The following is a 21,568-nucleotide window of genomic DNA, read 5'->3' as shown; positions in this document are numbered from 1 at the left end:
AGATTTTATTAAAGCTGGCATATTGGGCTACTGTGAGATGATGCACTCTCAGTAATTAGGGGAAAGTTTAGATGGTTCTGGCAGTCTAACTACAATATTAAACTTATATACCCTTTAAGGGTATAGATCCAATAATCTATAAGGATCTCAGGAAGTAACTTTCTTACAGTCTCGTGAAATATCAGATAGAAACAGTTTATAAAGTGATAACACATTTCTTTTTTTTTTTTTTTTTTAAACAGAGTCTCACTCTGTTGCCCAGACTGAAGTGAGTGGCGTGATCTCTGCTCACTGCAACCTCTGTCTCCCAAGTTCAAGCGATTCTCCTGCCTCAGCCTTCAAAGTAGCTGGGATTATAGGCGTGTGCCACCACACCCAGCTAATTTTTGTATTTTTAGTAGAGATGGGGTTTCACCATCTTGGCCAGGCTGGTCTCGAACTCCTGACCTCAGGTGATCCACCCGCCTCGGCCTCCCACAGTGCTGGGATTACAGGTATGAGCTACCGCGCCTGGCCAGGTGATACTGCATTTTTTAGTGTGCTTCGGTTCATATCAGATCAGCCTTTGCCTTCAAGATGTAAGTCAGCTCAATTTATACTGGTAGCTATTGTACTAAAGCCAGCCTTTAGATCAGGTCAGGGCAGATTTGGGATTTCTAGTTTCCTATATGTTGTAGATTTGATTCTGTTTATACTGCTGCTTGTTCTCATAAAATTATTAATAGGCCAGACATGGTGGCTCACGCCTGTAATCCCATCACTTTGGGAGGCTGAGGCAGGCGGATCACGAGGTCAGGAGTTCGAGACCAGCCTGGCCAACATAGTGAAACCTTATCTCTACTAAAAATACAAAAATTAGCCAGGCGTGGTGGCGCACGCCTGTACTCCCAGCTACTTGGGAGGCTGAGGCAGGAGAATCGCTTGAACCCAGGAGGTGGAGGCTGCAGCAAGCCAAGATCGCCCCACTGCACTCCAGCCCGGGTGACAGTGTGAGACTTCATCTCAAAAAAAAAAAAAATTATTAATAGTAAGCTGGTTTTTCTTAACATGATAAAATTAGAATTTATTGATAATTTAGTAAAAACACAAATTACTACTTCTCGGGAAAACATGCTTTGGCTTTTATGGGGGAAACTGTCAGGTTGAGACCAAGAGACATTAAAAGAAATATCCTGGGTCCTATTATTTTTAGTCATGATGAATGTATTTTGTATACCATCTTCATATAATAAAATTAACTTCCAAAAATGTAAAAAAGAAAAAAAAAGGGAAAGGAAGGAAGAAAAGAAAGAAAGAAATATCCTGGCCGGGCACGGTGGCTCATGCCTGTAATCCCAGCACTTTGGGAGGCCAAGGCGGGCGGATCATGAAGTCAGGAGATCAAGACCATCCTGGCCAACATGGTGAAACCCCATCTCTACTAAAAATACAAAAATTAGCCGGGTGTGATGGCGTGTGCCTGTAGTCCCAGCTACTGGGGAGGCTGAGGCAGGAGAATTGCTTGAACCCAGGAGGCAGAGGCTACAGTGAGCCGAGATCGCGCCACTGCACTGCAGCCTGGTGACAGAGCAAGACTCTGTCTCAAAAAAAAAAACAAAAAACGGAAAGAAATTTTTTTTTTTTTTAAGAGACACAGTTTCACTCTGGTTTCCAGGCTGAAGTGCAGTGGTGTGATCACGGCTCACTGCAGCCTCAACCTCTAGGGCTTAGGTAATTCTCCCACCTCAGTCTCCCAAGTAGCTGAGATTACAGGCACATACCACCATACTTGCCTAATTTTTGTAGAGACAGGTCTCACTATATTTTTTTGGTTTTTGGTTTGTTGTTTTGTGACAGTCTCGGTCTGTCACCCAGTCTGGAGTGTAGTGGCACGATTTGGGCTCACTGCAACCTCCATCTCCCAGGTTCGAGCGATTCTCGTGCCTCAGACTCCCAAGTAGCTGGAATTACAGGCGTGTGCCACCATGCCCAACTTTTTTTTTTTTTTTTGAGACAGAGTCTCACTCTGTCACCCAAGCTGGAGTGCAGTGGCACGATCTCGGCTCACTGCACCGCAACCTCTGCCTCCCAGGTTCAAGCAGTTTTCGTGCCTCAGCCTCCAGAGTAGCTGGGATTACAGGCATGAGCCACCACGCCTAGCACACCCAGCAACTTTTTGTATTTTTAGTAGAGGTGAGGTTTCACCATAGTGGCTAGGCTGGTCTTGAACCCCTGGCCTCAAGTGATCTGCCTGCCTCGGCCTCCCAGAGTGCTGGGATTGCAGGTGTGAGCCACCATGCCCAGCCAGGGTCTCACTGCATTTCACAGGCTGGTCTCAAAACTCCTAGGCGCAAGCAGTTCTGCCTCAAGCCTCCCAAAGTGCTGGGATTACCAGTGTGAGCCACCTCGCCCAGCCTTTCCCCTTTAAAGTGCATTATTTCACTGTTTTTCCAGAGTTGTGCAACCACTAATTTTAAAATATTTTCCTTAAAAAAAGAAAAACAGTATTTCCATCAACCTAAAAATCCCTGTACCCTTTAACAATCACTCTGCATTCCTCCCTCTCCTCAGCCCCTGGCAACCACTAATCTACCTTTGTCTCTCTGGAATGCCTATTGTGAACATTTTGTGTAAATGGAACTATACAATATGTGGTGTTTTTTTTGTTTTGAGACAGTTTCACTCTGTTGTCAGGCTGGAGTGCAGTGGCGTGGTCTCGGCTCACTGCATCCCCCACCTCCCGGGTTCAAGCGATTCTCCTGCCTCAGCCTCCCCAGTAGCTGGGACTACAGGCACATGCCACCACGCTCGGCTAATTTTTTTGTTTTTTCCTTGAGACGGAGTCTAGCTCTGTCATCCAGGCTGCAGTGCAGTGGCTCTATCTCGGCTCATTGCAACCTCCGCCTCCCGGGTTCAAGCGATTCTCCTGCCTCACCCTCCTGAGTAGCTGAGATTACAGGCACACACCACCACGCCCGGCTAATTTTTGTATTTTTAGTAGAGACGGGGTTTCACCATGTTGGTCAGGATGGTCTCGGTCTCTTGACCTCGTGATCCGCCCACCTTGGCCCCCCGAAATGCTGGGATTACAGGCGTGAGCCACTGTGCCCTGTCTACAATATGTGTTCTTTTGTGACAGTTTTTACTTGATGTAGTGTAAGGGTTTTTTTGTTTGTTTGTTTGTTTGTTTGTTTTGAGATGGAGTCTTGCTCTTTCGCCCCAACCAGACTGCAGTGGCGCTATCTTGGCTAACTGCAAGCTCTGCCTCCCGGGTTCACACCATTCTCCTGACTCAGCCTCCTGAATAGCTGAGACTACAGGCGCCTGCCACTGCGCCCGGCTAATTTTTTGTATTTTTAGTAGAGATGGGGTTTCACCATGTTAGCCAGGATGATCTCGATCTCCTGACCTTGTGATCCTCCTGCCTCAGCCTCCCAAAATGCTGGGATTACAGGCATGAGCCACCACACCTGGCCAATGTAGTGTAAGTTAATGCAATATGTCATTTATTTTATTGCTGAATAGTTTTTAGCATATGAATGTACCACATTTTGATTATTCATTTATCAGTTGGACATATGGGTTGTTTCTTTTTTTCGTTTGTTTTGTTTTTTTTTTTACTATTATGAATAATGCCTCCATGAACATTGAAGCACAAATTTTTGTGTGTTACATATTTTGTCAGTTCTCTTGGGTATCTAACTAAGAGTAGAGTGGTTGGGTCATATGGTAACTCTGTGTTTAAACTCCTAAGGACTGCCAGACTGTTTTCTGGAAGTATTGTACCACTTAACATTCCCAACAGCATTGAATGAAGATTTCGATTTCTTCACATGCTATGTCTTTGTAGAAATGTCTCCTCACACCCTTTGCCCATTTTTTATTTGGGTTTTTTGTTGATGAATTATGAGTTTTTACATATTCTTTATATTCTTTACATAAATCTTAAGAGATAATATGATTTGCATATATTTTCTCCCATTCTGTGGGTCTTTTTACTTTCCTAATGCTATCCTTTGAAGTCCAAAGGTCGGTTTTTGGGTTTTTTTGAGAATGAAAGCAAGTTGATTAGAGAAGTAAAAAAAACCAAAAAAACAAAAAACAAGAGAATGGCTACTCTGTAGAGCAGCCTAAAAGTTTTTAATTTTGAAATCCACTTGATGTAGATCATCTAATATTTTAAATAGTCGTTTATCCATGTTGTGACTAAACTAAGAAAAATCAGGATGAGAAAAGAAATGAAACTTACAGGAATCCTTTTTGAAAAGGAATCACCTAGAATGAACTCCCCAGGTGATTTTCATCTGCAAAAAATTGAGAACTGAACTACTGTTTTGGGGAAGTGCATGCTCTAAAAAATTTTAACTTACAGGCTGGGCGCGGTGGCTCACGCCTGTAATCCCAGCACTTTGGGAGGCTGAGGCAGGGGGATCACCTGAGGCCGGGAGTTCGAGACCAGCCTGGCCAACATGGTGAAACCCAGTCTCTACTAAAAATACAAAGAAAATTAACTGGGCCTGGTGGCACAAGCCTGTAATCCCAGCTACTTGGGAGGCTGAGGCAGGAGAATCGCTTGAACCTAGGAGGCTGAGGTTGCAGTGAACTGAGATGGTGCCACTGCACTCCAGCCTGGGCAACAAGAGCAAGACTCCATCTAAAAAAAATAAATAAATAAGTTATAAATGGACTAAGTAGTTGATTTTTAAGAATTTTTTTCGTTGTAAAAAATACATAACATGAAGTTTACCATCTTAACCATTTACAAGTGTATAGTTCAGCAGTATTAAGTACATTCACACTGTTGTGCAGCCAGTCTCTAGGACTTTTCGTCTTGTAAAACTAAAACAACTATTAAACAACTGCCTAGTTCCACCTTACTCCAGTTGCTGGCAACTGCATTTCTACTCTCTGTCTCTATGAACTTTAATATTCTAGGTTACCTCATGTAAGCAGAATCATACAGTATTTGTCCTTTTCTGTCTGGCTTATTTTTCTTAGCATAATGTGTTCAAGGTTCATCCATTTTGTGTGTCAGAATTTCCTTCCTTTAAGACTGAATAATATTTCATTGTGCACACACACCACTTTTTTTTATTTGTTCATCCACCAGTGGATGTTTGGGTTGCTTCCACCTCTAGGCTATTGTGAATAATGCTGCTATGAACATTGGTGTGTAAGTCCCCGCTCTCACTCTTGGGTATGTAATTGAAAGTAGAATGGCTAGATCATATGGTAATTAGGTGTTAAAAAAAAATTTTTTTTTTTGGAAGAGCTACCACACTTATCCCACATGGCTGTACCATTTTATATTCCCACTGGCAATGCACAAGGGTTCCAATTTCTCCACATCCTCACCAACACTTTGTTTCCTTCCTTCCTTTTTTGAGACAGTCTTATACTGTTGCCCAGGCTGGAGTGCAGTGGCAAATCATAGCTCACTGCAGTTTCTAACTCCTGGGCTTGAGTGATATTCCTGCCTCAGCCTCCTGAATAGCTAGGGCTACAGGCCTGCATCACGTGACACCCAGCTGATTATTTATTTTTTGTACAGATGGGGGCCTCATTATGTTGCCCAGGCTGTTCTCAAACTCCTGGACTCAAGTGATCCTCCTACCTTAGCCTCCCAAAGTGCTGGGATTACAGGTGTGAGCCACTGTGTTTGCTTTGCATAGAAGTAGGAATTTTCCGATGAGATATTTCTTGACTGGTAGTGATGATAAGTGTCTTTGGAAGTTGTAGACAAAAAAGATATGTTACTGGCATTGGTGTTGAAATTTAAAGGGGGCTTAAAAATGGGTTGGTAACTGCTCAGAAGGGACCTCCCATGTGGCAGGGCCTTGATGGTATTTACCCATTTCCTTTAGATTTTCTAGTTTATGTGTATGGAGGTGTTCATAAGGGTCTCTCAGAATCATTCTACTTCTGTGAGATCAGTTGTAATGTCACCTTTGTCATCTCTGACTGTACTTATTTGGATCTTCTGTCGTTTTTTCTTTGTTAATGTAGACAGTGGTTTATCAATCTTGTTTATGCTTTCAAAAAACCAACTTCTGGTTAAGTTGATTATTTCCCTGGATTTTGGGGTCTTAATTTTGTTCAGTTCTGCTCTGATTTTAGTTCTTTTCTTTTGCTAGGTTTGGAATTAGTTTGCTCTTATGTTTCTGGTTTTCCAAGTATGATATTGGATCATTAGTTTGATATCTTTCTGACATTTTGAGATACGCATTTAACAAGTGCCCCATAAACATATGAAAAAAATGCTCAACATCATTAATCAGAGAAATCCAAATCAAAACCGCAATGAGACAACATCTCACACACATCAGCATTGTTATTATTAAAAAGTTAAAAAACCAAAATCTTCCATAGGTCAGATTTTGGTCCCGTTTTTTAGTTCTAAAAACTTGAGTTTGGTTGGGCACCCAGAATTTATCAGGCTGTCAGTCATTCCTCCTTTTAATCAAACTCAAATGCAATTAATATGTTGCCATTTAAAGAGAATGAGTTTGTGAGAGAGAGATTTTTTTTTTTTTTTCTCGAGACTAAGTCTAGCTCTGTCGCCCAGGCTGGAGTGCAGTGACATGATCTCGGCTCACTGCAACCTCCGCCTCCCGGATTCAAGTGATTCTCGTGCCTCAGCCACCTGAATAGCTGGGATTACAGGCACTTGCCACCATGCCCAGCGAATTTTTTTTTTTTTTAATTGAGACGAGGTTTCACTCTGTTGGCCAGGCTTGCCTCGAACTCCTGACCTTGTGATCCGCCCGCCTCGGCCTCCCAAAGTGCTGGGATTATAAGCGTGAGCCATCGTGCCCGGCCGAGAGAGAGAGATTTCATAACTGGGACATTTCTGTGACTTCCACAGTTCTCCTTTCCCATCATTAGAATACTAAATTCTTGATTACAAATATGCCTAGACTTTGGAAAGACTCATTGCATCATCCTGTCATGGCGTCTCCCACTCAACCACCACATTTGAAGGCTCTCCCACGGACAGATTCACTACCAAATTCCAGCCTGTTGACACTCCTTATTTATCATAGATAGCTTCTTTCTTTAGGAAATGAGGTGTTTCTCAAGTATCTCTCCAAGTGTATTCTTTACATAACTTACCTCACTATTCAATCAAATTGAGCACTAGATTCTGAACACTGTTCCTAACTCTGTGTATACGTTCATAAACAAGACTAATATAGTCCCTACATTACTCCTTTGAGAGTGACCTGTTTCCATAACTTTGGGGCATCTCCCTGTAGCTTGCTTTTACCAGAGAGAAACATGAGTTTACTTACATGATATTTAAATCCCTAATGAGTTATTCTTTCTTCCACAGCAATGGCACCAGCATGATATCATTGATCATTCCTCCCAAAGACCAGATTTCACGAGTGGCAAAAATGTTAGCGGATGAGTTTGGAACTGCATCTAACATTAAGTCACGAGTAAACCGCCTTTCAGTCCTGGGAGCCATTACATCTGTACAACAAAGACTCAAACTTTATAACAAAGGTAATCTGGAGTTTGCTCCTTTTCCTTCTCTACACATTTTGGTTATGTTTTATACTGTGATGCTGCTATGGTGCTTTGTTCACTAATGTTCCCTTAAGTCGGCTGTCATCAGTGTCTCTTTGGCCTTGGTGGTTAGCTTTTTTGTTTTGTTTTGTTTTTTGTTTATTGAAAGTTAAGTAGGCCAGGCACAGTGGCTCATGCCTGTAATCCCAGCACTTTGGGAAGCTGAGGCAGGTGGATCACTTGAGGTCAGGAGTTCGAGACCAGCCTGGACAACATGGTGTGAAACCCTGTCTCTACAAAAAATACAAAAGTTAGCCAGGCCTGGTGGCACACACCTGTAGTCCCATCTACTCTGGAGGCTGAGGCGAGAGAATCAACTGGACCCGGGAGGTGGGAGTTGCAGTGAGCCACGATCTCGCTGCTGCACACTAGCCTGAGTGACAGAGTGAGGCGTTGTCTCAATTTTTTTTTTTTTTTTTTTTTTTGGGATGAGACAGAGTCTTGCTCTGTCACCCAGAGACTGAAGTGCAGTAATCCGATCTCAGCTCACCACAAGCCTCCCAGGTTGAAGTGATTCTTCCGTCTCAGCCTCTCGAGTAGCTGGGACTACAGGTGCCCATCACCACGCCTGGCTACTTTTTGTATTTTTCGTAGAGATGGGGTTTCACCATGTTGGCCAGGTTGGTCTTGAATTCCTGACGTCAGGTGATCCGCCTACCTCGGCCTCCCAGAGTGCTGGGATTACAGGCGTGAGCCACCACCACGTCCAGCCTGTTTACTTTAAAGAATAAATCGTACTGAAACGTCTCAGAAGAAGTTTTAAAATTAGGGAGAGAGTTCTGCCTGAGAGATTTCAAGCTTTTTCTGCTTTATTTAAATTATGACTTAAAGGATCAGGCAGGGAAAATAGGCTATGGGAACATTTTCTATTAATTGACGAAAAACTAGATATGGGGTAAAGTAGAAAAATTGTTTGTGTTCTTTGCAGTACCTCCAAATGGTCTGGTTGTATACTGTGGAACAATTGTAACAGAAGAAGGAAAGGAAAAGAAAGTCAACATTGACTTTGAACCTTTCAAACCAATTAATACGTCATTGTATTTGTGTGACAACAAATTCCATACAGAGGTAAGAAGTCAAACCCAGAACATTTTCATCGCTCCAGAATTCTTTCCCCGTACCCATTAGCAGTCAGTCCCCCATCCCTCCCACTTACCTGTCTCATTCTAGGCAACCACTATATTTTCTTTCCATAGATATGCTTGTGCTGTACTTCTTTTATTTTTATTTTTTTATTTTTATTTTTTTATTTTTTTTTTAGACGGAGTCTCGCTCTGTCTCCCAGGCTGGAGTGCAGTGGTATGATCTCGGCTCACTGCAAGCTCCGCCTCCCAGATTCAAGGGATTCTCCTGTCTCAGCCTCCTGAGTAGCTGGGATTGCAGGCACATGCCACCACACCCAGCTAATTTTTTTGTATTTTTAGTAGAGATGGTGTTTAAACACATTGGTCAGGCTGGTCTCAGACTCCTGACCTCGTGATCCACCCACCTTAGCCTCCCAAAGTACTAGGATTACAGGCATGAGCAACCCCGCCCAGCCTGGACATTTTATATAATGGAATCATATAGTTTGTGGCCTTTTGTGACTGGCTTCTTTTACTTTATACTTTTAAGGTTCCATGTGGTAGCATTCATCAGTACATTTCATCCCTTTTGATTACCAAGTAGTATTCCATTGTATACCTATATGCCATATTTCATATTTTATATAGCTTCTCGTTTCATCAGTTTTACATTTGAGTGGTTTGCACTGTTTGGCTGTTCTGAATAATGCTGCTGTGAACATTCATGGACAAGTTTCTATGTGACCATACATTTTCATGTTTCTTAGATTTGTGGAATCGTGTAGGTTATATAGTAATTATGTTTAACTTTTTAAGAAGTTGCTAGACTGTTTTCCAAACCGTTGTACCATTTTACAAAGCTGTCTGTTTTCAAAAAGTAAGGCAATTTACATTTATTATGACACTAGTCATTCAGCATGTTTTGAGACAGAGTCTCACACTGTCGCCCAGGCTAGAGTGCAGTGGTGCAATCTTGGCCCACTGCAACCTCCATCTCCATGGTTCAAGCGATTCTTGTGCCTCAAGCCTCCTGAATAACTGGGATTACAGGTGTGCACCACCATGCCTGGCTAATTTTTTGTGTTTTTTTAGTAGAGACAGAGTTTTGCCATGTTGGCCAGGCCTGTCCCAAACTCCTGGCCTCAAGTGATCTGCTCGCTTCAGCCTCCCAAAGTGTGTGTGTGTGTGTGTGTTTTGATTTTTGTGGGTACATAGTAGGTGTATATGGGGTACATGAGATGTTTTGATACAGGCATGCAATGTGAGCTATCACACTATGGAAAATAGGGTACCCATTTCCTCAAGCGTATATCCATTGTGTTACAAGCAGTCCAGTTATACTCTTTGAGTTATTGCACTCAGTTTTCACATAACAATTGTAAAATTTTTAGTAGCAGAACTGTAAGAACTCATTTTCCCCCCTTTCCCCTGAAACTTTTGAGTGACAAAGCTGCCATAGGATGAACTTGAACAGTGGAAAGGAAACCTCATTAGAGTGACCTAAATCAGTCAACAGTAGAACAATCAAGAATTCACAGCTGGCTCCTTAGTTCATTCTCTTGCCTTTCATCAACCTAGGGAAAAACCTCTACAGTGGAATTAGAACTGACATTTGTCGACAGTTTACAGTGGATGATTTTTGCTAACTTGATGGGAAGTCCATTTATAGTTGGATCTTGGTCGACTGCATAGACAATCCAGACTGTTTTTCTCTTCACTACCACACTCTACTTACAGCAGAGGGTTTTTCAGGGAGCCTCTCAGCCACTGAAACCACTTACCTGTATCTGGTTGGATGAAAGCCGATTTTGAATCTTGTTGATTTAAACAGTGCCAGGTACCCATGTTGTCTGGCTTTTGCTCACTTACTGAGTTAGCCTTGTTGGCTTTTTTCCAAACCTTAACTCCTTTTCTAAGATACTGTTTAATCTTGCTAACTTTGTACATTTTAGCTTTAACTGAGAGGGTTATATCCTGTTTATCAGGGTAATTATATATTCTAATAAGGGATATGCCTATTCCCTGATAAGCAGATTTATTAAAAACTTCAATCTACCTAACGGGTCATTTTGATAAGGCTATATTATTAACGTGCAATATTCATATTCATGTCTTTTTTCTTTTTCTTTTTCTTTTTTCTGAGATTGAGTTTTGCTCTGTTGCCCAGGCTGGAGTGCAATGGCACGATCTCGGCTCCTTGCAACTTCCACCTCCCGAATTCAAGTGATTGTCCTGCCTCAGCCTCCTGAGTAGCTGGGATTACAAGTGTGCACCACCACGCCCAACTAATTTTTGTATTTTTAGTAGATGAGATTTCACCATGTTGGCTAGGCTGGTCTGAAACTCCTGACCTCGAGTGATCCACCCACCTTGGCCTCTCAAAGTGCCATTGCAGGCATGAGCCACCACGCCCGGCCACAATATTCATGTCTTAATGCCAACTATCTAGCATGGTTTGTTAAAGATGGATTCTTAGTTGATCCATCTGCTTTCTAGTCAATTATTGAAGGGGCTATTTTCTTAAAATGGAATGGTAAGGCCAGGTGTTGTGGCTCACACCTATGTAATCCCAGCACTTTGGGAGGCCAAAGAGGAGGATCAGTTTATAAAAATAAAATGGAATGGGTAACAATTTCTTACTTCCAAAGAGATTGTCCCCTGGCAATTAGAGATCAACTAAGTGTGTAGTATTCCGATTCCACTGTGAGAACTCTTATCTATGTATGTCCCAGGACTGTTTCAATATTTTCTCTTTGGGAAGGCATAAAGGGATATAAAGTTAACATAGAAGGAAGGTTTTCCTCATAAAACTCAGAATCATTAGCTGCAATACCTTTAAAGACATGCTGGCTCATGCCTGTAACCCCGGCACTTTGGGAGGCTAAGGCAGAAGGATCATTTGAGTCCAAGACTTCGAGGCTGCAGTGAGCTATGATGGCTACTGCACTCCAGCCTGGCCAGCAAAGTGAGACCCTGTCTCAAAAAAAAAAAAAAAAGGAACAAGTTAAAGTTTTTTTGTTTTTTGAGACAAGGTCTCTGGATCACCCAGGCTGGAGTACACTGGCACAATCTTGGCTCACTGCAACCTACACCTCCCAGACTAAAGCCTTTCCAAGTAGCTGGTAGGGACTACAGGCACGTGTCACCACAGCCACCTAATTTTTGTATTTTTTTGTAGAGACAGTGTTTCGCTATGTTGCCCAGGCCAGTCTCAAACTCCTGAGCTCAAGCCATCTGCCTGCCACAGCCTCCCATAGTGCTGGGATTACATGTGTGAGCCATCATACCCAGCTTAGAACTCTATATTATAAAACTGAAACTGTATCCATTGAGCAATAATTCCTTGTTCCCCCTTTTTTCCAGCCCCTGGCAACCACCATTTGACTTTTTGTCTCTGATTTTGATTACTCCAGGAACCTCATATAAGTGGAGTCATACAGTATTTGTCCTTTTTTGACAGGGTTATTTCACTTAGCATGTATTCAAGTTTCATCCCTGTTGTAGTGTGTTTCAAAATTTTCTTCCTTTTTGAGATTGAGTAGTATTAACTGCTGTATGTAATATTGCTATAAACATGGGCATACAGATATCTTTCTGGTTTTATATTTACATGCCCATGTCAAATGTGTTGAAAAGCTTCACATAGATATCATTCGTTATTTCCTTATTGGGTTCAAATTTGTCCATAAGAGTTACATGTTTATAACTGAAGTCTATAAATTATTCCGTAGAAGGTTTTCCCACAGTGCTAATAGCATGGTGAGTGGAGTGAAAGGGCTTGTATATATCCTTTCAGAGTTTTTTTGACCTTAGCAAAGCTTTGGGATTCACCGTGTGGTACTTGTGTTTGCTTTTCAGGCTCTTACAGCACTACTTTCAGATGATAGCAAGTTTGGATTCATTGTAATAGATGGTAGTGGTGCACTTTTTGGCACACTCCAAGGAAACACAAGAGAAGTCCTGCACAAATTCACTGTGGATCTCCCAAAGAAACACGGTAATACAGGAGGAGAACATGAACCCACTTACTTTGTGTCTAGCAATAAGAAAACAGTATGGTGGGCCGGGTGCGGTGGCTCACGCCTGTAATCCCAGCACTTTGGGAGGCCGAGCCGGGTGGATCACGAAGTCAGAAGTTCGAGACCAGCCCGGCCCTGTCTCTACTAAAAATACAAAAATGTGACGGGCGCCTGTAATCCCAGCTACTTGTGAGGCTGAGGCAGGAGAATTGCTTGAACCCGGGAGACGGAGGTTGCATTGAGCCAAGATTGCGCCACTGCACTCCAGTCTGGGCGACAGAGTGAGACTCTGTCTCAAAAAAGAGAGAGAGAGAAAACAGTATGATGTGAGGGGAGTGAATCCAGATGATGGGGAGAGAAGCCTCCTGTAATGACTGGTGCCTCATTGGTACTTACAGCTCCTCTCTTGACATAGACTTAGTAGTCGCTCTCTGAAAACAAGTAGCAGTTTATGCTGAACGTTTAGTTAAGGGAATGGTGATTTTTCTTTGTCCTTTTCTTAGATGATGACATGATTATTTTATTTTTAATTTGAAGACATCTTGTAGTTCTTAATAATTGCCTTTTTCTCTTGCTACTTTTGTGTCAAAGGTAGAGGAGGTCAGTCAGCCTTGCGTTTTGCCCGTTTAAGAATGGAAAAGCGACATAACTATGTTCGGAAAGTAGCAGAGACTGCTGTGCAGCTGTTTATTTCTGGGGACAAAGTGAATGTGGCTGGTCTAGTTTTAGCTGGATCCGCTGACTTTAAAACTGAACTAAGTCAATCTGATATGTTTGATCAGGTAAGTAAGAAGTAGATGCTTTATTATGTAAGACCCTAGGTAGGAGTAGGTGAGTCCTCTGTGTGAGCACTGGAACAGACACATCTTTTTAAAATTCCTTGGGTTAAAAACTTGCCTCTGAGTTAAACAGCAGGTTTACAGATGTTTATCAGGAAACATTCCCCTGTGCTTTTCTGAACCCCTTCTCTTCTGAAATCAACCATTTTTAGGTGGGCTTCTTATGGATCCTGTGGAGGTTCCTTGTTTAGTTGGGTTGTCAGAATTGGCTGTAGAATGGAGTTTGATTTCAAAGAAACTAAAACCTGTTCCTTATTTTCTTTTTCTGATTTATTCTTGGAGATACATAGCAGCAAAGCTCTCAGCAGTATGACAGCTGATTCAGCCTAAAGCATTTAAAGCACATTTTATAACATGGGCTCAGCCATAATACACTTTCAAGATCTGGAGGAAGTAGCCTTATGGTAGAAGGTCCACCAAAGAAATTGCCTTTAAAAAAAAAAAAAAATATATATATATATATATATATATATATATATATTTTTTTTTTTTTTTTTTTTTTTTTTTTTGAGACTGGGTCTGGCTATCTTGCCTAGGCTGGAGTGCAGTGGCAATCATGGCTCACTGCAGCCTCGATCTCCCAGGCTTAAGTGATCCTCCCAGCTCAGCCTCCCAAGTAGCTGGGACTACAGGGATGTGTCACCATGCCCAACTAATTTTTGTACTTTTTGGTAGAGACAGGGTTTCACCATGTTGCCTAGGCTGGTCTCAGAATTCCTGGACTCAAGCTGTCTGCCTCTCCTAGCTTCCCAAAGTGCTGGGATTATAGGTGTGAGCCACCCTCCCCAGCCCGTCTTAACCTCTACTACCTTATTTGGCAGGAGCCAGTGGTCCCCCCTTTCCTCCACAATAACTTATTTTTGTTTGCACTTAATGAGTTGTCCTATAGTAGGTCTAATAAAATGTGTGATATAATTGGCAGTGCTGTTCACTTTAAGAGCAGCTTTTGATTAAATTGGGCTCCTTCCCCATATTTAGACTTCAGTGATCATAATGCTGAGCTTTGCATACCATTAAGAGTTAGTGGGTTTGAGTAAAGGTGTTTTAATAATATTTTAAATAAGTACCAGTAAGTACTAATAATATTTTTTTTGTGTGTTAGAGGTTACAATCAAAAGTTTTAAAATTAGTTGATATATCCTATGGTGGTGAAAATGGATTCAACCAAGCTATTGAGTTATCTACTGAAGTCCTCTCCAACGTGAAATTCATTCAAGAGAAGAAATTAATAGGTATCGGTGAAATGCAACTACTTATTCTGTGAAATGTTTTCGTGTGTGTGTGTGTGTGTGTGTGTGTGTGTATGTGTGTGTGTGTATGTACGTGATTGTATGTATGAGACAAGGTACCAAAAATGTAAAAAGGAATATTTAGTATTTTTATTAACTCTTTTGCCTCAGTAAAAGCATTATTTTTTATCTTCTTTAGTCATTAGGTCGAATAGGTGTGTTTGTATCTACTAGGGAAACTTTAATATATATCCTGTTGACTGATCCCTAATCGTAGGACGATACTTTGATGAAATCAGCCAGGACACGGGCAAGTACTGTTTTGGCGTTGAAGATACACTAAAGGCTTTGGAAATGGGAGCTGTAGAAATTCTAATAGTCTATGAAAATCTGGATATAATGAGATATGTTCTTCATTGCCAAGGCACAGAAGGTATGAGAATTAGAAAATAAGGTTGCTATTTGTTACTGAGCCAGGAAGCCTGGGGTGGAGATTTGGGAGGGATGGCTGATTTCAGGAGCAATCAGAAGGTAGATCTACCCATTGTTCCCCAGTCCTTCAGTCTGTAGCACATTCCTGCATAGATTTTTCTGCTTGAACTGTTTAACGTCTGCTTAAGATTGTTACATCTGCTGAGGACCAGGACTATATCTTGAACATCTCTGATGTTCCTTATGGTTGAAGCATTGTACCTAGTAGACACTCAGTGTATGCTAACATGTTTATGGAAAAAATGTTGAGAGATTGAGTCCCTGAGCCCTTTTCTCATCTAACCTCATCTTATGGAGCTTACACAGATTAGTATATGAGAGCCAGGTTAACACATTTTTTCCTCCTAATACTACAGAGGAGAAAATTCTCTATCTAACTCCAGAGCAAGAAAAGGATAAATCTCATTTCACAGACAAAGAGGTATGTGATTATTTTCTTGGTTTGATGATACGTGCAAGCGTAAATCCGTGTGTTAGAGTACTGGCTGTGTAGAGGGTGAGCTTTGGGAAACCAAACCTTATACTAATTGGGGGTGCTGTGGGAGGTGGTCATCTATCTGCCACATACGAATCTGATTTCAGGGAAGGAGCTGCAGCTTTTTTTTTTTTTTTTTTTTTTTTTTTTTTTGAGACAAGGTCTTGCTCTGTTGCCCAAGCTGGAGTGCAGTGGCATGATCTCGGCTCGCTGCAACCTCCACCTCCTGGGCTCAAGTGATCCTCTTGCCTCAGCCTCTCTGGTAGCTGGGACTACAGGCATACACCACCACGCCCAACTAATTTTTGAATTTTTTGTAGAGAGGCGTTTTCACCATGTTGCCCTGGGCTGGTCTCAAACTCCTGAGCTCAAGCAATCCACTTACCTCGGCCTCCCAAGTGGTGGGATTACAGGTGTGAGCCACCATGACCGGTCTTTTTTTTTTTTTCTTTGAGATAGGGTCCTGGTCTGTCACCCAGGCTGGATTCAGTGGCACAATCATAGCTCACTATAACCTCGAACCCCTGGGCTCAGGCAATCCTTCTGCCTCAGTCTACTGAGTAGCCAGGAGTACAGGCACAAGCCCTCATTCCCTTTTTTTTTTTTTTTTTTTTTTGAGGTGGAGTTTGCTCTTGTCACCCAGGCTGGAGTGCAGTGGTGTGATCTCGGCTCACTGCAACCTCCACCTCCCGAGTTCAAGCAATTCTCCTGCCTCAGCCTCCCGAGTAGATGGGACTACAGGCGCCCGCCACCACGCCTGACTAATTTTTGTATTTTTAGTAGAGACTGGGTTTCATCATGTTGGCCAGGCTGGTCTCGAACTCCTGACCTCAGGTGATCCACCTGCCTTAGCCTCCCAAAATGCTGGGATTACAGGCGTGAGCCACCATGCCAGGCAGCCTAATTTTTTTTATAGAAATGGGGTCTTGCTGTGTTCACCAGGCTGGTCTTGAACTCCTGGGCCCAAGTGATCCTCCTACATTGGTTTTCCAGAGTGGTGAGATTACAGACGTGACCCACCATGCCTGGCCTGGTTTTTGTTTGTTTGTTTGTTTTTGTCTTTGTTTTTAAGTAGTTAAGCAATCAGGAAAACATTTCATTATCCTTGAAATTTAATAGGGAGGAAAATGTAATTTACATAATGCCTCTCCTGCACTGTGAAACCTGTGCTGCTTTCTTCACTTGATCAGCTCTTCCACTGCAGTGGCTTCTCTGGTTTGCTCTAAGTGCATCACAACAGTTGAAAGTATGACCCTCCCGTATGAGATAGGTTTAAATGATAGCTTCCTCAAATTCTGGTTTGGAGAGCTTTGTTCTCTACGAGGCCACTCCCAAAAGCAGTCCTGGAATGTCTCTTCTGAGCCATTGAATGGGTGCTGCTTAGAGACACTACAACAGCCTGACTTCTAGAGTCAACAGTAGGAATCATAAGCTGAATACCCACTGAGTTTTTGTGTTGGTATTTCATAGCTGAGGGTAGAGCCTGAGGAGAAGTGTTGTTTGAAATAATCCGAATTTCTCTGCTGATATCCATTAGGTTATCAAAACCAGAGATGACTTACAGAGCTTTACACACAGACATGCCTATAAATGGGAGGATGAGAGTGATAGGTGGGCAAGGGGCTGTGAGAGGGACTAATTAGCCTTCATATATCCTAATCCCCCATTTTTGTATCTCATGGTCATCCCTGTAGACCGGACAGGAACATGAGCTTATCGAGAGCATGCCCCTGTTGGAATGGTTTGCTAACAACTATAAAAAATTTGGAGCTACGTTGGAAATTGTCACAGATAAATCACAAGAAGGGTCTCAGTTTGTGAAAGGATTTGGTGGAATTGGAGGTGAGTAGCAAATCAGCAAACCAAACTTAAAACCAGGGTCTCAGGTCAAGGTCCCTCCTGGCTAGCCCTAGCCCTGCTTCCGGTGAGGTGCTTATTATCTGCTGGGATAGGTGATTGACGCAGCAGGTGCAGGTTCCTAATTTGGACCCATGTTTATTATTACCTCTTTGCTTTCTGCAATTCTGCAAGAGAATAGGGCTTCCCTTATTCCCTTACCAGCCACCTACACACATGCCCATCCCATGAACACAGGTAATTTACCTTTTGGTTTGTTTCCCCAGGTATCTTGCGGTACCGAGTAGATTTCCAGGGAATGGAATACCAAGGAGGAGACGATGAATTTTTTGACCTTGATGACTACTAGGTAGTCGACATGGGTCCGGCAAAACGTGCCTCACCCTCCAGCATCCAACCCAAGGAGCATACCCATGGTGGAATCCAAACAGATCCCTGCCTTACAATTGGAACATTTCCAGAACTTAATCCATGAGCATTGGATATTGAAAAGAAAACCGAAACAAAACCAGACCCAGCCCTACACTTTGGTTTGTCATGGTGTCAGCGCAGCAGCCTACAACTAAGTTCCTAAACGCCACTTTGGACTAATTTAAAAAAGAATCCCAGTTTTTACTTTTACTGGATGGTGAAATTGGTTGCTCTTGTATTTTATGAAAAAAAATGATTTTTTTAACCTTCATACATAGAAGCAAAAATACTTTAACTGCTGTAAACCTTCAAAAGTTAATAGAAGTGAGATCATACTGGTTTGTTTCTTATTTTGATTGGAGAAAAATTAAATTGCTGCATTTCGCAGTGACCCATTTACATGGCATTCTCAGCTTAGACTGCGTAAGAAGAAATATATGTGGTGAAATGTTGGAACCATTTCTCTCTTGGTCTCTGTTTAATGTTGAAAGGGTGAGCTAATAGGAGGCACTTTCAACTTCACTCCCTCACGCTACCCCGTCCCCCTCCAGACTGGCAGTTTCAAGGATGCAAATTGCATTGCAAAATCAAACTGACTCATGAAGCATTTGGGCCAGTGCACTGTTTACTTCCATCTGTTTGCAGACACATTTGTGCCCGGCGTTTGGGAGCCCTTTGTATCAATGTTCTGACAAGGGTCCCTATAACCTTAACCTACTCGAAACCGGTTTGGGATGGATATGATGGGGCTTCTGTGCTATTGCTGGGATTGGGAGAAATAAAACATGCAATTTAAGTGGAAGCGAAGAAATTTAAAGAGGATTTTATTTTGCTTGGGTCAATCCTTGTTAAAAGGGAGGTGGATGTGTTTTCCTTGTGTTGGATGGCATGAGATTATGTGAATGTTTTGATTTATTAAAATGAACTGCAAGGTTTTTCACAGGAACGACAGACATGTATGACTGCATGTAATTATAAACTCCTGACCTCCTGGTGGGGTTGGAGCATCTGTTTCAAATGTGGGACTTACAAGCACTTCTCACATGAGAAATTAGGGGCGGGTGGGAAGGGATGGGACACAGCTTCTGGCACCATGGATTTAAGACCATGTTGGATCCAAAAGTTGGCCTGAAACCCTGAAGCTTATGCTTCACAGCTGGGCTGTAAGTCAGACTTGAACCCAGCTGATATGCAAGGTCATGGCGTGCCCAGGGTGGTGACAGTTGAACAAAGTGTATAGTACGTGCCCAGTGGTAGCGATGGAAAAAAGTATACCAAATGGACTTTGAAGGACCAAAGGTTTTAAAAGTCAATTGGTATCACCTCCACACTGACTAGGGTAGTGGGGTGCATTTGGTTTTCAAATTGGGTACTTTTAACACTTTAGTGCCTGACTGCTGTTCTTTACTGACTTGATTCAGTCACTCGTAGCTTTATTGGTCTGAACCAGCTCCTTGTTCCCAGGTTACAGACCTGCCTATCGTTCCAATAATCCTGTTTCACTTGAATGAAGGGAGTATGTCTTAAATGTAAAGTTTCTGGTTCTCACACTGTACTCTGAGGTCCAAATACTGTCTGTCAATGTGTAACCTGATGTCTCAACCCCCTGTGAGAAGAGTCCATTATTTGGTGTTCACCAACGTGGGAGACTTCACCGGAACAGGCTTTTTTGCTTTGGGCTCTGCTATTTGTTTGCAGAACACCCAAGAGCGAGCAAACATGCTCTCTTCACAGCAGTACCTTAGGGTTTTGCCATTGTAAATGGGTCTGATGTGATATGACAAGACCAGAGAAATTGGATGTAAATTTACATTTTTGAATATGCTTGTTGTTTCACATGATACATTTAGGGTATGCAGCTCCTTTTGTAGTTTTTATTTTTACTATTTAAGTTTGGAAATGATGCCAAATTTTTGTATTTCTTTAATCAATGTGTTCTCTTCGGTGATATATATTGCATTATATATTGATGTGTGTATCAATATATATTGATATGTATTACACTTACACATACAAACACATATAAGAGGGGGTGAAAACCGTAGCCTTTGCATTCTCTATAGCCTCTGCAGAGAGATACTAAGCAGCAAAATCTTGGTGTTGTGATGTACAGAAATGGAGAAGAGTATTAAACCATATTTAAGAATATACTTTGTGTGCTTGAGATTTTTTAGGACTGGTCTAGAAAGGCCTGAACTGTGGAGACAGTTCTCCAAGGCATACCTCAGATTAGTCACGGCCAATAGCATTTCAGCCTTGGGTTTGAGTTGTGTTTACTACATTTGTCTATGGAAAGGTATATGCAAAGTTTTTCTGAGGTCATGATCCCAGAGTTATGCTAGAAGAAGAAGGTTCAGGTTGCTGGGGCCAAACTAATTTGTATTCTCCCCCATTCTATATGCATGCCAAAGGGAATCTTGCTTTTTTTTTTTTTTAAGGTATGTTAAGTATATTATCCCATAACCCAGCATCCCATGGAGGTAGATGGTGTACCCAATTTTACAGGTGATGAAACAGAACAAAAGAAGGTTAAGTAGCAGCTCTTTAGTGATAACACCAAAATTTTATCCCAGGCCTTATTCCAAAGTTCTCTCTGTATCTGTCTTTGAGTCCTATAATAGAATGGTCCAGATGGAATAGCAGAAACTAGGCCTGGGCCCTCTCTCTCTCCCACGCTCCTTCATCTTACATACCTTACACTGGGTAGGAGAGTAGTAGCCCACCCAAAAGCAGGTCAGGGGCTGGTCCAGAGGAGCAGGGCTCCTAGGCCAGGTTCAGAGCAGAAGAGGATTTGTTTTCTTTGTTTTCCCCCAAGGTTGAGGTGCTTAAAGAGCCTCTTTGGTAGTTTAGGAAGCCTAGTTGAGGAGCCAAGGTGGTGCATGGTTTGCTTTCTCCAGGTTTGAGAAAACTGTTTTAAGTAAAATTGACCAGTAATGGCACTTGGCGTACTTTTCACCCATTTTCTTACCTGATCTAGGTGATAGCTCTGACGACGAAACTCAATTACCAGCTGGGAAGGGGCGAACATGCCTGTGCTGGTGGAAGTGTAATTTTCCCTCCTAATGCGTGTCTAGGTGCTGTTCTTGAAGACAAAATTGTTGGAAGGCAGCACAGTGGTGCAGGATATATGGGCTGTGGTCCTTGCCTGTCTGGGCCTGCAGCACTTGCCATCTTTTGTTCTCTGGCTCCAAGACGCATGCCATGACACTCCCAGACAGGCACGGTGGATTTAGGGCTGAGAGCCAAGGTGGAATTTAAGTTTCATGCCAGCTTCTCCTTTGTTGCCAGCTTGAGTGAATGCCAGGGGATTCCTGCCTGCCAAGTCCAGCCCTGATGGGACTGGGTCTCAGGGGACCTAGGAACTGAACAGCCAAGTGGTGTGGGAGCATCCGATTAGAGCTAGGGAAGCAGGGCACAGTTACTTGCTTGTTTTGTGGCAGTTTGGGTGCTGCAAGTTGCTGAGGATGTGGCTGAATAGCAGGCACTAGAAATAACAGGTGAAAACAATTCACCACCTAAAGGGTTCTCTGTAAATCAAGTCTAAAACCCTGTCTGGTGAATTCTGTTTCAGATACAGCCATCTCCAGGAGTCCTTCCCTGAAACTGGCAGGCTTACCTGGGGCTTAGCTAA

General features: G+C 42.4%; 1 protein-coding gene across 10 annotated transcripts in view, besides 1 other annotated feature; it reads left to right on the top strand.

Moving 5' to 3' along the window:
* Nucleotides 1–20,085, top strand: part of ETF1 (eukaryotic translation termination factor 1) — a 37,142-nt gene extending 17,057 nt beyond the window's left edge. For 8 of the 10 annotated variants that reach the window (NM_004730.4, NM_001291975.2, NM_001364160.2 and 5 more), the window contains 9 exons: nucleotides 7,313–7,488; nucleotides 8,480–8,619; nucleotides 12,474–12,612; nucleotides 13,226–13,416; nucleotides 14,576–14,705; nucleotides 14,980–15,135; nucleotides 15,551–15,615; nucleotides 17,364–17,511; nucleotides 17,793–20,085. In NM_004730.4, coding sequence (NP_004721.1) covers nucleotides 7,313–7,488; nucleotides 8,480–8,619; nucleotides 12,474–12,612; nucleotides 13,226–13,416; nucleotides 14,576–14,705; nucleotides 14,980–15,135; nucleotides 15,551–15,615; nucleotides 17,364–17,511; nucleotides 17,793–17,875 — 1,228 coding nt within the window. In that variant the 3' untranslated portion in view covers nucleotides 17,876–20,085. The remainder of the gene's footprint in view (nucleotides 1–7,312; nucleotides 7,489–8,479; nucleotides 8,620–12,473; nucleotides 12,613–13,225; nucleotides 13,417–14,575; nucleotides 14,706–14,979; nucleotides 15,136–15,550; nucleotides 15,616–17,363; nucleotides 17,512–17,792) is intronic. The other 2 variants (NR_157090.2, XM_047416932.1) reach the window with 2 other exon arrangements.
* Nucleotides 1,619–2,556: an enhancer, noted in NCBI's record as "H3K27ac-H3K4me1 hESC enhancer chr5:137859313-137860250 (GRCh37/hg19 assembly coordinates)". NCBI's record gives its function as "activates a minimal SCP1, AML or CMV promoter by ChIP-STARR-seq in primed H9 embryonic stem cells {active_cell/tissue: H9 hESC(primed)}" and the evidence as "EXISTENCE:reporter gene assay evidence [ECO:0000049][PMID:30033119]".
* Nucleotides 20,086–21,568: the final 1,483 nt, after the last annotated feature.

This window comes from Homo sapiens, chromosome 5, assembly GCF_000001405.40.
Source record: "Homo sapiens chromosome 5, GRCh38.p14 Primary Assembly".
NCBI classification, from domain to species: Eukaryota; Metazoa; Chordata; class Mammalia; order Primates; family Hominidae; genus Homo; species Homo sapiens.
This window is presented reverse-complemented; position numbering and strand designations above follow the sequence as displayed.